At 39.0% G+C, this 15,234-nt stretch overlaps 1 protein-coding gene across 10 annotated transcripts in view, besides 2 other annotated features; it reads right to left on the reverse strand.

The window, feature by feature from the left end:
* ATL2 (atlastin GTPase 2) overlaps positions 1-15,234 on the reverse strand; it is an 84,631-nt gene that overhangs the window by 41,823 nt on the left and 27,574 nt on the right. For 7 of the 10 annotated variants that reach the window (NM_001135673.4, NM_022374.5, NM_001330463.2 and 4 more), the window contains exon 2: positions 7,492-7,736. The exons of the other annotated variants lie outside the window; for them this stretch is intronic. In NM_001135673.4, the coding sequence (NP_001129145.1) occupies positions 7,492-7,736 (245 nt within the window). The remainder of the gene's footprint in view (positions 1-7,491; positions 7,737-15,234) is intronic. 10 annotated transcript variants of the gene reach the window in all.
* Positions 7,457-7,657: a silencer, noted in NCBI's record as "peak3663 fragment used in MPRA reporter construct". NCBI's record gives its function as "represses an SCP1 promoter by STARR-seq MPRAs in K562 erythroleukemia cells {active_cell/tissue: K562}" and the evidence as "EXISTENCE:reporter gene assay evidence [ECO:0000049][PMID:32103011]".
* Positions 9,317-9,517: a silencer, noted in NCBI's record as "peak3664 fragment used in MPRA reporter construct". NCBI's record gives its function as "represses an SCP1 promoter by STARR-seq MPRAs in K562 erythroleukemia cells {active_cell/tissue: K562}" and the evidence as "EXISTENCE:reporter gene assay evidence [ECO:0000049][PMID:32103011]".

Here is a 15,234-nt window from a genome sequence, read left to right on the forward strand (position 1 = left end):
CACGCCTGTAATCCCAGCACTTTGGGAGGCTGACACAGGCAGACAATGAGGTCAGGAGATCAAGACTATCTGGCTAACACAGTGAAACCCCGTCTCTACTAAAAATACAAAAAACTAGCAGGGCATGGTGGCGGGAGGTACTTGGCAGTCTGAAACAGGAGAATGGTGTGAACGTGGGAGGCGGAGCTTGCAGTGAGCCACTGCACTCCAGCCTGGGCGCCACAGCGAGACTCTGTCTCTAAATACATAAATACATAAATAAACAAATAAAAATAAAAAGACCCAAGGAAGCAGCATTTAAAAATATTGTTCCTCCTCCAAATACATTTCAGTCTTGAGAAAGAACATAAGACAGTTTTTCTTCATGTATTTGCACATTTCCCATGAAATCTCAGACACTGTTATCCTTAAAGAGGAAGGTAAAATCAAGTTCAACATCCCATAGGGCTCATTCTGAGATATTTGTGCTTGTGGCAAGTTATATGTAGCAGTGCGTATGATTCTTAAAGATAGTTTTTTACTCCTGGTCTCTGGCAACAGTTTGGGGAGCAGCTCTTTAAATAGCAAAGAATAAAAACATAAAGGACAGTTTTTTTAAAATGCCATTACCAAATATGCTGTAGAAGGAGTCAAAACTCTTGAGTAGCAAATACAGCAAGGATCCTTTATTTATTGAGCTTAGATACCAGTGCATAGCAAGAAAAGTTACATTTGTACTCACACATATCCTCCCATCAGTCTAGTTCAACTCTGAAGTAAACCAAAGTAAATATTTATAAAAGAATAATTTAGTGTAGGTATATCCTATAAAGTAACCTGTACTTTACTTATTGTAGATATATGGGAAAATGACCAAACATAATTTTACATAATAGTTTTTAGAATAAAGGCTCTGGCATCAAATTGCCTAGTCTCGAATTTAAGTCTTGCCACTTACTTTGAGTCTCGTTTCTTCAACTACCAAGTTGAAATATAATTATCACTGCACAGGGTTATTTCTGAATACTAAGTAAGATAATGCCTGCTAAATGCTTAGTAATCAAAATACCAAGAATTCAGTAAAGATTCAAAAACCGTTACATCACAAAATAGTATGTGCTTCCTAATGGAAGAATACGTCATCATCTATGAAGTACTCTTGCCAAAAGAGCGTCAAACTTGAGTCTGATGAAGTCTCTAGATTCAACTAACAACTTACAGAAGATTCACAGAATGCAGAACATGTAAAACTACACCAACGGGATGTAATCTGCAAATCCAGAGTGGGAAACCCTATAACCAACAATCAGTATCTTCAACAAATAAATTGCCAAGAAAAAGAGAGGGAGGGAGGGAAACCTAAAATGCATTAAAACACTTTGAAGACAACCAATCACAATGTGGACTATTAAAAAAAACAAAAACAAAAACGAAAAGCAGTTGAGGTGGCCAGGCATGGTGGCTCACACCTGTAATCCCAACACTTTGGGAGGCTGAGGTGGGAGGATCATTAGAGGTCAGGAGTTCCATACCAGCCTAACCAACATGGTGAAACCCCTATCTCTATTAAAAATACAAAAATTAGCCAGGTGTCGTGGTGCGCACCTGTAAACCCAGCTACTTGAGAGGCTGAGGCAGGAGAATTGCTTGAACCCAGGAGGCAGAGGTTGCAGTGAGCTGAGATCACATCACTGCACTCCAACCTTGGCGACAGAACAAGACTCTGTCTCCAAAAAAAAAAAAAAAAAAAAAAAAAAAAAAAGGCAGTTGAGGCAACTTGAAAATTGAACACTTAAAAGACATTAATATTAAGGGATTATTATTTCTATATTATTGTAATGTTCAAAAAAGTCCTTATTTTTAAGAGACACATACTGTAATATTTATAAATTAATTGATCACAGGGATTTACTTCAAAATAATATATAAGGTGTAGACTGAGTTAGATTATAGATGAAATGAGATTGGAATTGATAAGTGCTAAAAATTGTTTAGTATATGGGCATTTATTATATTATTGCCTACTTTTACATGTATTTATTAATAAAATTCTTCATAATAAAGTTTTACAAAGAAAAAACAGGAAATGGTATAAAAGTAGAAGCAACTCCATAGAGAATTAAGAATCCTTATCTAGGAGAATTTAGTAATAATAGCTATCACCATTACTTAGCATCAATATCGTAAGCACTGTGTTTAGTTTCATGTATATTATATAATTCTACTAAATTAAGTTTTGACCATTGTAAACTGATTCCTAGATTTCAAACTACAACAGCGAGACGTGACAATCTAATCAGCATTTTTCTAACAGTTCCTACAGACACTGGAATAATCTATTTCACTTTGAAAAGGTTTAAAATCATGCAGCCATAAAAAAGGATGAAATTATGTTCTTTGCAGCAACATGGATGCTGCTGGAGGCCATTAGCCTAAGCAAATTAATGCAGGAACAGAAAACCAAATACCACGATTTTACTTAAAAGTAGAAGCTAAACAAGGGTACTCACGTACACAAAGATGGCAACAACAGACAACGGGGAGTACTAGAGGGGAGAGGGAGGAAGAGGGCAAGGGTTGAAAAACTATTGGTTACTACGCTCAATACCTGGGTGACAAGATCAATTGTACCCCAAACATCAGCATTAGGAAACACACCCTAGTAACAAACCTGCACATATAGCCCCTGATTCTAAAATAAAAGTTAAAATTATTTTTTTAAAGTAAACACTTTGGATTGTAACTCAAGTATAAATGAGCCCACACTGATATAAAGGATGGAATGAATAAATAAATAAATAGGGAGAAGATACACCTCTTCCCAACAGAAGAATCCTAAATAATATATTTAGATGTCTTCCTCCTATCAGAAGGTAGAGCTTAATCCTCCTCTTTCCCTGTTCTTTGAGGTTGGGGTGGAATTAATGACTAAAAAATATCAAGTCTGCAGTGGTGAAACCTGGCAAACACTAGCTTAACCAACAGGTGAAGAGTACCATTCCTAGCAGTACCACGTGACTATACATACCCCCAGATACAATGTGATGAGAAGGGTACTTGACCTCAGGAGTATTCTTTCCAAAATCCCATCACCCCAGTCTAACCATGACAGAAATGTAAGACAAACTTAAATTGAGGAACGTTCTTCAAAATAGCTTACCAGTATGCCTCAAAATAGTCAAGATCACCAGGCTCACACCTTTAATACCAGCACTTTGGGAGGCTGAGGCGGGCAGAATCACCTGAGGTCAGGAGTTTGAGACCAGCCTAGCCAACATGGTGAAACCCCATCTCTATTGAAAATACAAAAATTAGCTGTGTGTGGTGGCAGGCACCTGTAATCCCAGCTACTCAGGAGGCTGAGGCGAGATAATCGCTTGAACTCAGGAGGCGGAGGTTGCAGTGAGCCGAGACTGCGCTACTGCACTCCAGCCTGGGCAACGAGGGAAACTACGTCTCAAAAAAAAGTCAAGATCATGAAAAAAGGGAAAGGCTGAGAAACTCACAGACCAGAAGAAACTAAGGAGACATGACAGCTAAATCTAGGAATCGTATTCTGTATTAGAGATCCTGGAATAGAAAGAAGAGCACCAATGGAAAAACTGCAGAAGCCGGAACGAAGTCAAGGACTTAGTTAATAGTAATGTACCAATCAATATTGGTTTCTTAGTTTTGCAAATGAATCACACTAATGATAACATTAGAAGAAACTAGGTAAAGGATTCAGGTATACAGGCTCTCTTTGTTATATTCCAATATAAAAAATGTGTTTGAAAACTTAAAAAAATATGACCTCTAATATTGTGTTAAAAATGAAAAAAACACTTCTAAAAAATCAGCTGACAAAAAATTGTAGTATCAAAGCAAAAACCCATCAACAGTTAAATGGATAAGCAAAATGTGGCATAATCATACAGCAGAATATTTATTTTTATTTTATTTATTTATTTTTGAGACAGAGTTTTTCTCTTGTTGCCCAGGTTAGAGTATGATGGCACAATCTCGGCTCACTGCAACCTCCACCTCCCAGGTTCAAGTGATTCCTCTGCCTCAGCCTCCCAAGTAACTGGGATTACAGGTGCATGCCACCGCGCCCAGCTAATTTTTGTATTTTTAGTAGAGATGGGTTTTCACCATGTTGCCCCAGCTGGTCTCGAACTCCTGACCTCAGGTGATCTACCCACCTCGGCCTCCCAAAGTGCTGGGATTACAGGCGTGAGCCCCAACACCCTGCCCTCATACAGTAGAATATTAAAGCAACAAAAATAACGCAAAAACATGAGTACATCTCAAAGTTATAATGTTAACAAAATAAGCCAAACACATAATACCTATGGTATGATTTCATTCACGTAAAGTTCAAAAACAGTGAAATGAACCTGTGGTGAAAAGTTCAGAACAGCAGTTAGTTTTGGTGGGGGGGGGGGGGGGGTAGACATTAACTGAGAAGGAACACAAAGTGGGGGTTGTTCTGTATTTTCATCTGGATGGTGGTAGTAAGGGTGTATACCTATGTAAAATTTCATCAAGCTGTACACTTAAGATTTGTGCACCTTTTCTGCATGTAAATTATACTTCAAAGGAAAAAAATTTTTAAGGAAAAGATACATTTATCTAAAGCACACCCCTAAATAAGCAAATAAGAATTAGAAGTGGGGGGGGCAGGGCATAGAATACTTGAGTGTAACATTTATTTAGGAGGGGAAAGCCAACATCCCCCACACCATAACCATACCCACCAATTCTGTCTTTGATTACAGATTTTAATCTCCTCTTATAAAACTACTCACTACTTTCATCAACTGCATACTTACATACATTGACTCAAGTCAACACTGAAAACTTAAACTGTCAGTATGTCACTACTCTACTTCTTTCAGCTAGCATCCCACCTGTGCAGGCATACAGGTTAATAAAATAAATCCAACTACCCCATTATTTCTCCTTCTTTACTTTCATCTCATAGGAAAAGCATGACCCACCACATGATCAGTTTAAGTGGAGGCACATTATCCAAAAATCAGATACCATTTAAATGCAATTTTTGATTGACAGAATAAGGTGATTTATATCAGGAATTCTATAGGGCAATACTATAAATGAAAGCCAATAAAGACATTTCAGCTTAGAAGCCACTAACTAGATGTATAACCTCACTCAAGCCATCATAACCTTTGCATGGCTTCTGCAACTCCCCCAGGAAAAGAGAGTTCCGTTTGTGCAGAGATTGCAAATACACGGCAATGGGGGGCTGCTACTCCACTCTGAACAGCCACTACTAACTGATCAGAGATGGAAACAGAAATGGCACCTGAGGTGAAACTTATCTGTCATTCCTAGATAAGTGATCTAAGCTTCCCTCCCCTTCTAACTTTCTACTGTCTGTGACCTACTTGGAACAAAATACATTTGCACTAAACAGCTTAGACACAGATAGATACAATATACACAAGCTAACTTAAGGACTTAAGAGGACCTCAAAATATAGAAATCCTTTATCATCTTTAAATGTACAGTTTTTTTAAAAAATATGCCACTACTTAAACATTTCTCTATTTCAGATGTAAAATTCTAGATCAAGTCTAAATAGGAAAACTTTAGCTGAGCATGGTGGCTCATACCTGTAATCCCAACACGTTGGGACGCTGAGGTGGGAGAATCACTTGAGGCCAGGAGTTCAAGACCAGCCTGGACAACATAGTGAGAACCCCATCTTTACAAAAAATTTAAAAATCAGCCAAGCATTGTGGTGCATGCCTGTAGTGCCAGCTACTTGGGAGGCTGAGGTGGGAGGATCACTTGAGCAGAGGAGGTTGGGCTGCAGTCTACTAAACTGACACTAAAAGCCATGTTCACACCACCGCACTCCAGCCTATGTGACAGAGTGAGATCACGTCTCAATCAATGAGACAAACTTTAAAATGATGTACCTTTCTCAATGTCCCAAACATGTAAAACAAAGTTTTCTAATATAAACTATGCTATTGATACTCAGGTATATTTGAGAAAGCCTGAAATGATCGCCATGAAAAAACTTTACTGAAAAGCTTCCTGGAAAACCAAATGAGAATGTTTACCTTATTTCTTACCTCGAAGAGAATGCACACCCAATTACAAATGTCACAGAACTCATAAAGGTGAGCACCCTGACAGGTGTTTAGACAATTACCTAATTCTGTCAAAGTATTATTTCTAATAATTCATGTGGCTTCTGAATGTCAAAAGTTCCCTATATAGCAATTCCACTAAGTGCTCCACTCCAAAATTTCCAATTCCTTCTCCTGTTCCCTTTCAAACTCCCATTCCCTCAGTCCAACTTGCAATTATCAGAAAAACATTCCAACTCGAGTGAAAAAATTTTTTTTGCTTTTTTTTTTCAGGAGAGAAAGTCAGAGTCAGGGAGAGATAGGTAAGTAGCAATTGTCTGGTACCATCTCAAAGTGAAAATGTATAGAAGGGAAAGAGATTCATCAATTAAAATGTAAGTATCTCCTAAGACCCAGTTCTTGTGCCAGGTGCTTGATAATCAACAGAGGGCCCACCCATGACAGAGATTAAAGTAGCCAGAAAAAAATAAGCAACTAAAGTAATATCAATAAAACATACAACCTGTACCATGAGTTAGGAAGAGGATGTAATATAGTCCTAGATGTCAGGGAAGGCCCCCATGAAAAGATGAGCCAAGAATACCATAATATTTGAGGAAAAAACATGGCATACTCAAGGAACAGCAAAAACTATAGTTTATTTGACATATGAAGGGCAAGAGATGAGATTCAGAGATCATGGATGGCTGCAGAAGCCACTCTAAGGAACTGGACTTTATCTCCAAAGGTAATAGTCACTAAAACTGACTTGTTTGAGGAACACAGATATACTTTTTCAAAGGTCTCTATCCACCTACTTTACTCACTGTAAAGGTGGCCAAAAGGAAAGTGTGAAGAAGTAACAAAAAGGGAAAGAAGATAAACAGTACTTCAGAGACTTCTAGGATATACTCAGACAACTTGGGTTAGAGCCACAATGCCTGGAACACAGATGCTCAATTATATGTTTCCATATGCAGTATATGCAGAAGGGAATTATGGCGATGAAGAATCAAGAGCTCAAACTTACATTACTGTATTGACCAGGAAGTCCTATAAAGAATTATATTTCTATAGAATTAAAAATGCAGTTCTGTCAGCCTGGACAACAAAGTGAGACCCCCATAGCTACAAAAAAAAAAAAAAAAGTTTTTTTAAGAGTTGGGCATGGTGGCACACGCCTGTAGTCCTAGCTTCTCGGGAGGCTGAGGTGGGAGGATTGCTTGAGATTGGGAGGTTGAGGCTGCAGTGAGCCGTGATCACACCACTGCACTCCATCCTGGGTAACAGAGTGAGACCACTTAAATTAAAAAAAAAAAAAAAAAAAAAAAAAAAAAGATATAGTTCTGGTTTTTGTCTATTTTTTTAACAGGCATGGTTGGTACTTTTTTCTTTTTAATTGGGTTCAATTTAAAAGACTATTCACCTTGTTATACATGTATCTAAGCATGAAGTCCAGTAGAAATGACTTCCCTTTACGAAAAGCTCCTGCCACAGATACCACTACTATGTTAAGATCTCGTATGTGCTCCTGTAGCAATATCTGCTCCAAAGCTTCTTCATCAAGTTCAAAGTTATGGTCATCTTCATGAGCAAGAACAATCTGTACTGGACATGGTTTCTTCATAACCTCATCAGAATTTACTAGGTCATCATCTTCATAATTCTCACCTAGAATTTAAAAAGAAAGAAACTGGTTACTTTAATCCCTATATTACGAACTTTCATTAAGGACCACAACTAAAGCAAAATTTCAAGTAAGTAATTGCCCCCTCCCCCCATTATAGATCATTATAATGTTCCTTTGGATTTCTCACTCCCTCTGTGACAGGACAAAGAATGCTGATAAGATTTCCCACTTGATATGGTTGGCTGTGTCCCCACCCAAATCTCATCTTGAATTGTAGCTCCCACAATTTCCACATGTTGTGGGAAGGACCCAGTGGGAGGTAACTGAATCATGGGGGAGGCTCTCTCCTGTGCTGTTCTCATGATAGTGAATAAGTCTCACGAAATTTGATGATTTTATAAGAGGTTTCCCTGCACAAGCTCTCTTCTCATCTGCCACCATGTGAGATGTGCCTTTCACCTTCCGCCATGATTGTGAGACCTCCCCAGCCACGTGAAACTTTGATTCCATTAAACCTCTTTCTTTTGTAAATTGCCCAGTCTCAAGTATGTCTTTATTACCAGCATGAAAATGGACTCATACACCATTATACATACAGATAAACAATAATACTAAATATGGCCTCTATCTCAATGAAGTCTTAACTTCATTGAGAATGTTCATGTCAACAGCACCTGTTTCTGAGCCCTGTATTATTCTGTAAATAACTTTTCCAACTGTATGCACACATAAACTAAAGAGGGGAAAAATCAATTTCACCTGATACTTCAAATCCCAATTTTCCCTGTAAGCATCACCTAGAAAATTCACAAACATTACTCTACTTTACAAACATTAAAAACATATATTAAAATTGTTCATGTGGCTGGGTGCAGTGGGTGTAATCCCAACACTTTGGGAGGCCGAGGCAGGCAGATCACCTGAGGTCAGGAGTTCAAGACCAGCCTGACCAACATGGGGAAACCCCGTCTCTACTAAAAATACAAAAATTAGCTGGGCATGGTAGCGGGCGCCTGTAGTCCCAGCTACTTGGGAGGCTGAGACAGGAGAATCGCTTGAACCTGGGAGGCAGAGGTTGCAGTGAGCTGAGATTGCACCACTGCATTCCAGCCTGGGCAACAGAGTGAGTCTCAGTCTCAAAAAACAAACAAAAAAAAATTATTCATGTTATTTTTCATTCTGAAACTTAAAGGGGAAAATTAGGGTTCTAACAAGTTTCCAAAAATGATACTTACAATGAGTCCCTAATTTAATAACAGTAACCTAGTACTACTACAGCCTCCTCATTAAAGCAAAGCACAGGATTAATGTTTCATTAAAGAAGAGTCAGTGAGATGCATTTATATCTCAGAATTTCATCTCCCACTGGAGCTCTTTCTCACCAAACACTACAGCTGTTATAGCTCCCGAAAACAGCCATATAAACCCTTCCTTTGTTCACCACAACACATTAAAATAAGGTAACCTTTGCAGACATAACTTTACTGAATAGTGACGAAGAAGTACAGAGAATGTAAATAGCAGAGATAAACTTCCAAAGTCTAGGTTTCTGTTCTTCTTTAAAAAAAACACCTAGCTTCAGAGGACACATACCTTGTCTGACTTTCTTCTCTACCAACTGCTTGATCCCACGTAGCAACTAGTTACTCCTGGGGACCTTATCTTCTCCCACATCAAAATTTCTAAGAGATCCCCTCCTTGAGCCTGTCTACTAAGTGTCAGTTTCCACTCTAAGGACACATACGGTATCCACTGTTTTCAATGCAATCAATGACTGTCCTACTCTGAGGAGAAAGCCAGTCCACTAAGGCGTGGTACATTATTAGTGAACAGTTCAGTAATACCTTATCCACATAACCAATATTCACAGAGCAAAGATTATATAACTACATTAGTGGATTTTTAATCTTATTACCAAAAGAAGCATCTCACTTATCTGATTTGCAAAGACTATTAGAGCCTCTACCTCCACATCACGAGGCACCTTTAACTGTATATAGCAAAGTCAACAGCACTATTTCAAAATGTGCTGAAAACAATGACAATGCATTATAAAGAGCAAGCCACTTCAAAGGAGAATCTTTGAAAGTAAAAGCAATCAATATTTAGTTAAAGGGGACATTATCACTGCCTGTATCAATGGTATATAGCAATAGTCAGGTATGCTATTTGAATGCATGCAAAAAGTGAACTTTCCAGGAAAAGTTGCAATACAGTTAAATTCTAAATTAACGTCTCATTAGGTAGGTCCAGATAAATAACAAAACAGGATGCAAACGGTATAAGTTTCTAAGCTTAATTAGTGGTTTAAGACCATGAAGTAGGGAGCAAACTGCCTCGATGCATGTCACTTAACTTCTCTGCACCTGTTTTCTCATCTGGAAAATGGGTGTGTGTCAAACAGGCATAGCATTACCTAACTCATAGGGTTGTCATCAGGATTCAATGAGTTGAAATATGTATGCTACGCAGTAAGCACCATAGGTGTAAGTTAACAGTAATTTCAAAATAACCAATCCAACAGGAGAAGCTTTTATTTTCCCCTTGAAATGCCAAAATGCTATGGTGATTTTCACTTGACCAGTGTAGCTGCGTACTGACACTGCCATCCACCCATCTGCTCTGGCACAGACTTGCTGGCTGTCCTTGACATATAGAGATACGTCTACGTGTCTTTTACTTACCCCTAAATCTAATCAATAACCACCTTCTTAATTTGTCTTCATTTCTGAATCTCTATTGATAATATTCCTGCACTTGTCACTGCCACAGTACCTCACACTGTAGCATCTAACTGGTTTCCCTTCATTAATACTCTTGTCCTCTTACCCAATCCAATCTAATCTCCACAGAGTAGCAACTAAATAATATAGTTACATGTAAAGTTGACCAGGTTACCCTCCTTAAAATCACTGTTACAGAGGACTAATGACTAAAATCCTACACATGCTCTATAAGGTCCCGTACTCACCGCCAATCTCTGTTGCCTCTTTTGGTGCTATTCTTCTCTTTAAACCAGCGGTCCCCAACCTTCTTGGTACCAGGGTCTGGTTTCATGAAAGACAAGTTTTCCACAGAAGGGGGAGCAGTGGTTTCAGGATAAAACTGTTCCATCTCAGATCATCAGGCATTAGTTAGATTCTCATAAGGAGCACACAACCCAGATCCCTCACACGTGCAGTTCACAATAAGGTTCGCGCTCCTATGAGAATCTGATGTCACCATGGGTCTGACAGGAGGCGAAGCTCAGGCAGTAATGCTCGCTCGCCTGCTACTCCCCTCTTGCTGTGCGGCCCAGTTCCTAACAGGCCACGGACGAGTACCAGTCCACGGCCCTAGGGTTGGGAACCCCAGGTTTAAACTAGGTAGCCAAACTAACCTTTCATCAGATCCTCATGCTGCTAAGCTCTTTCTAGACTCTGCTTTAATATTCCTCTGCCTAGAGTACTCTTTCCTTTGTTGTTTCCTAATAAATTCACACTTACTCCTTAAATCTCAGCTTAAAAGACACTTTCCAGGAACAAGAATCTTCCCTGAGGCTTCCAACCAAGTTTAGTCATTCTATACTCCCCAAATTTTAATCTATCACTTGAATATTTATGTAAGTACTTATTTATTAAATGTCTCCCCTCTTGGATTGCCAATTTACCACTTAGTTTCCCATCATAAGCAGAAAATAGACAAACAAAAGAAGAAAGCCCTTAAATACCTTACCATGGCTTCTATAGTCGTATGCGATCTGGGCCCAGCCTCCTCTCCATAGCAGAGGGCCTTATAAAGCACATGTCATCTTACAACACACTCCTATTCATTCCCAAAGCCTGGACAATCTGGCCTTCTTGCTGTTCCCTGATGAAGCTAACCCTGTTTCCCACCTTAGAATTTTTGTCCTGTGTTGTCCCCTATCTGGAATGCTCTGTCCCTAGAAATTCACATGGCTTATGTCTCCATCATCCAGCTCTTCAGCTCAAATGTTATCTCCTCAGCATGGCCCTCCCTGACCACTCAATCTAAATCACAGATCCCTTTCCTTAACACTTTAATGAAACAGGTTTATTCATAGTTTTTTTCAATTCCTAAAACAACCTTTTTTCATTCGTTTAAATGTGTACCTGATATCTCCCACTCCACAGAATGAGTGTGCCACTAAAGTAAGGATCCCAATCACCCTGTTAACCATTCTCTACCAGCACCTACAACAGTGCCTGACACCTAGCCTAGCAGGTTCCTTGTAAATATTTCCTGAATGAATGAAATTTAAGCATTTTACTCAGGAGTCTTACATCTGCCCTTACCTTTTTTTTTTTTTTTTTTTTAAGGCAGAGCGCTCTGTCACCCAGGCTGGAGTGCAGTGGTGAGATCTCGACTCACTGCAACCTCTGCCTCCTGGGTTCAAGCCATTCTCCTGTCTCAGCCTCCAGAGTAGCTGGAACAACAGATGCCCAATGCCTCGCCAAGCTAATTTTTGTATTTTTAGTAGAGACAAGGTTTCCCCATGTTGGCCAGGCTGGACTCAAACTCCTGACCTCAGGTGATCCACCCATCTCAGCCTCCCAAAGTACTAGGATTACAGGCATGAGCCACTATGCCTGGCCCTGCCCTTACCTAGTTTATAAGCAAATATGATAATCAAATAGCTTGGGGAAATACCTCCGACAACTCAAGAGTATTAAGTATACGTAACACAAAAATTCCATAAAAATTATGAAGCTTGGCTAGGCGCGGTGGCTCACGCCTGTAATCCCAACAATTTGGGAGGCTGAGGAGGGCGGATCACCTAAAGTCAGGAGTTTAAGGCCAGCCTGACCAACATGGAGAAACCCCATCTCTACTAAAAATACAAAATTAGCCAGGAGTGGTGTTGCTTGCCTGTAATCCCAGATACTCAGGAGGCTGAGGGAGGAGAATTGCTTGAACCCAGGAAACGGAGGTTGCGGTGAGCCAAGATTGCGCCATTGCACTCCAGCCTGGGCAACAAGAGCGAAACTCCATCTCAAAAAAAAAAAAATTATGAACCAAGTAAAACACTTTAAAAAAGAACTCAAAAGTAATAACTGCTAAAATATCACAATGACCAAGTGTGGAGGTTGGTGATTTTGCTAAAACAAACAATAGTTTTGCTCTTATTGTAAAGAAAGCATTAGTTGGTTTTTTAGAAGTTTAAGAAAAAAAAAAAACCCAAAAGCCAAAATTGACAAATGGTATCTAATTAAACTAAAGAGCTTCTGCACAGCAAAAGAAACTACCATCAGAGTGAACAGGCAACCTACAAAATGGGAGAAAATTTTCGCAACCTACTCATCTGACAAAGGGCTAATATCCAGAATCTACAATGAACTCAAACAAATTCACAAGAAAAAAACAAACAACCCCATCAAAAAGTGGGCAAAGGATATGAACAGACACTTCTCAAAAGAAGACATTTATGCAGCCAAAACACACATGAAAAAATGCTCATCATCACTGGCCATCAGAGAAACGCAAATCAAAACCACAATGAGATACCATCTCACACCAGTTAGAATGGCGATCATTAAAAAGTCAGGAAACAACAGGTGCTGGAGAGGATGTGGAGAAATAGGAACACTTTTACACTGTTGGTGGGACTGTAAACTAGTTCAACCATTGTGGAAGTCAGTGTGGCGATTCCTCAGGGATCTAGAACTAGAAATACCATTTGACCCAGTCATCCCATTACTGGGTATATACCCAAAGGACTATAAATCATGCTGCTATAAAGACACATGCACACGTATGTTCGTTGTGGCACTATTCACAATAGCAAAGACTTGGAACCAACCCAAACGTCCATCAATGATAGACTGGATTAAGAAAATGTGGCACATATACACCATGGAATACTATGCAGCCATAAAAAATGATGAGTTCATGTCCTTTGTAGGGACATGGATGAAATTGGAAATCATCATTCTCAGTAAACTATCGCAAGGACAAAAAACCAAACACCGCATGTTCTCACTCATAGATGGGAACTGAACAATGAGAACACACGGACACAGGAAGGGGAACATCACACTCTGGGGACTGTTGTGGGGTGGGGGGAGGGGGGAGGGATAGCATTAGGAGTATACCTAATGCTAAATGACAAGTTAATGGGTGCAGCACACCAGCATGGCACATGTATACATATGTCACTAACCTGCACATTGTGCACATGTACCCTAAAACTTAAAGTATAATAATAAAAAATAAATAAAATAGGAAAAAAAAAACCCCACTGGGCAGAAAACCTTTGTTAACTCGAAAATTCACCTATATTAGTTGGCCAGTCACTATGCAACCAAGTTTATTAGCACAGACAAAGACAGGCCTTTCAAATAGACAGAATGTGTCTACATATTTGTCACCATATCTAGTCTACAGCCTTTTACAGAGAAGGGTAGCAAATAGATTTCAAAAGTATAATGGAGCCTAACAATGATGTGATACACCTGCATCTATCTACTTACTCCCCATGGTGATTTCTCTACCAAATATGGACTAAATACAGATAAAGTACTCCATCAAACACTGATATAAGCAAATGAATAAAAGAGAATTGTATGTAAATTTCATTAGGATACCTGTAAATACTGTACTAGCATTTAGTGATTGCCTACAATTAAAAGTCTCTAAATTCCACACCACTCTAAGATTTTAAACTGAAGTTACGTCCTGTGTATAGAATAGTGATTTTATTTCCATTCTTCAATGCCAAAAATTTACTAAGACAAGTAGATTTCAGCCCCCCAACACATTTTTGTGATTCACAGTTCCAAGTCAGTTTTCCCTACGCTAGCCCCCAGATGGGTCTTTCAAGGTCAAAGCTAAAAGACACCTAAAGATGATCACCTGCTTCTCAAACATCTCTCCACACATTAACACTAAGGTACCTACCTAATATCTATTTGCCACACGGCCTAACAAAAGAAAGGTGTCTTAGTAAAAGGACCTGTGATTGCCAGGGGTTAGGGGGATAGGGAGGGATGAACAGGCATAACACAGAAGATTTCTTAGGGCAGTGAAACTATTCTCTATAATACGAAATTGGTTGATACCTGTCATTATACATCTATGAAAAAAACCATTGAATATACAACCCCAAGAGTGAACCATAATGTAAAACTATAGACTTTGGATGATAATGATGTGTTAGTGAAGGTTCATTGATTTTAACAAAAGCACCACTGTGGGTGAAACGCTGATGGCGGGGGACAGTGTGTATATGGAGTGGCAGGGAGTACGTGAACTACAATTTCGCTTCATATTGCTGTGAAGCTAAAATTGCTCTAAAAAAAAAAACCAAAAAAGTCTATTTAAATAAGACACCTGTCTTTTTGTTGTCTAATCACACATTATCTTAAATCTGCCAAATTCAGACACTCAGCATGTATTCCAACAGCAAAATTTACACTTCAGGGCTGACCTAGATCCTCAGCAAATTTCAAGCTTAATTATAAACTAAGATAATAAAAAAGTGCTACAAATCTTCATTATAATAAAATGTAGCATTAATGTTAGATTACATCAACCCAAAAC

Source organism: Homo sapiens, chromosome 2, assembly GCF_000001405.40.
Source record: "Homo sapiens chromosome 2, GRCh38.p14 Primary Assembly".
Lineage (NCBI taxonomy): Eukaryota > Metazoa > Chordata > Mammalia > Primates > Hominidae > Homo > Homo sapiens.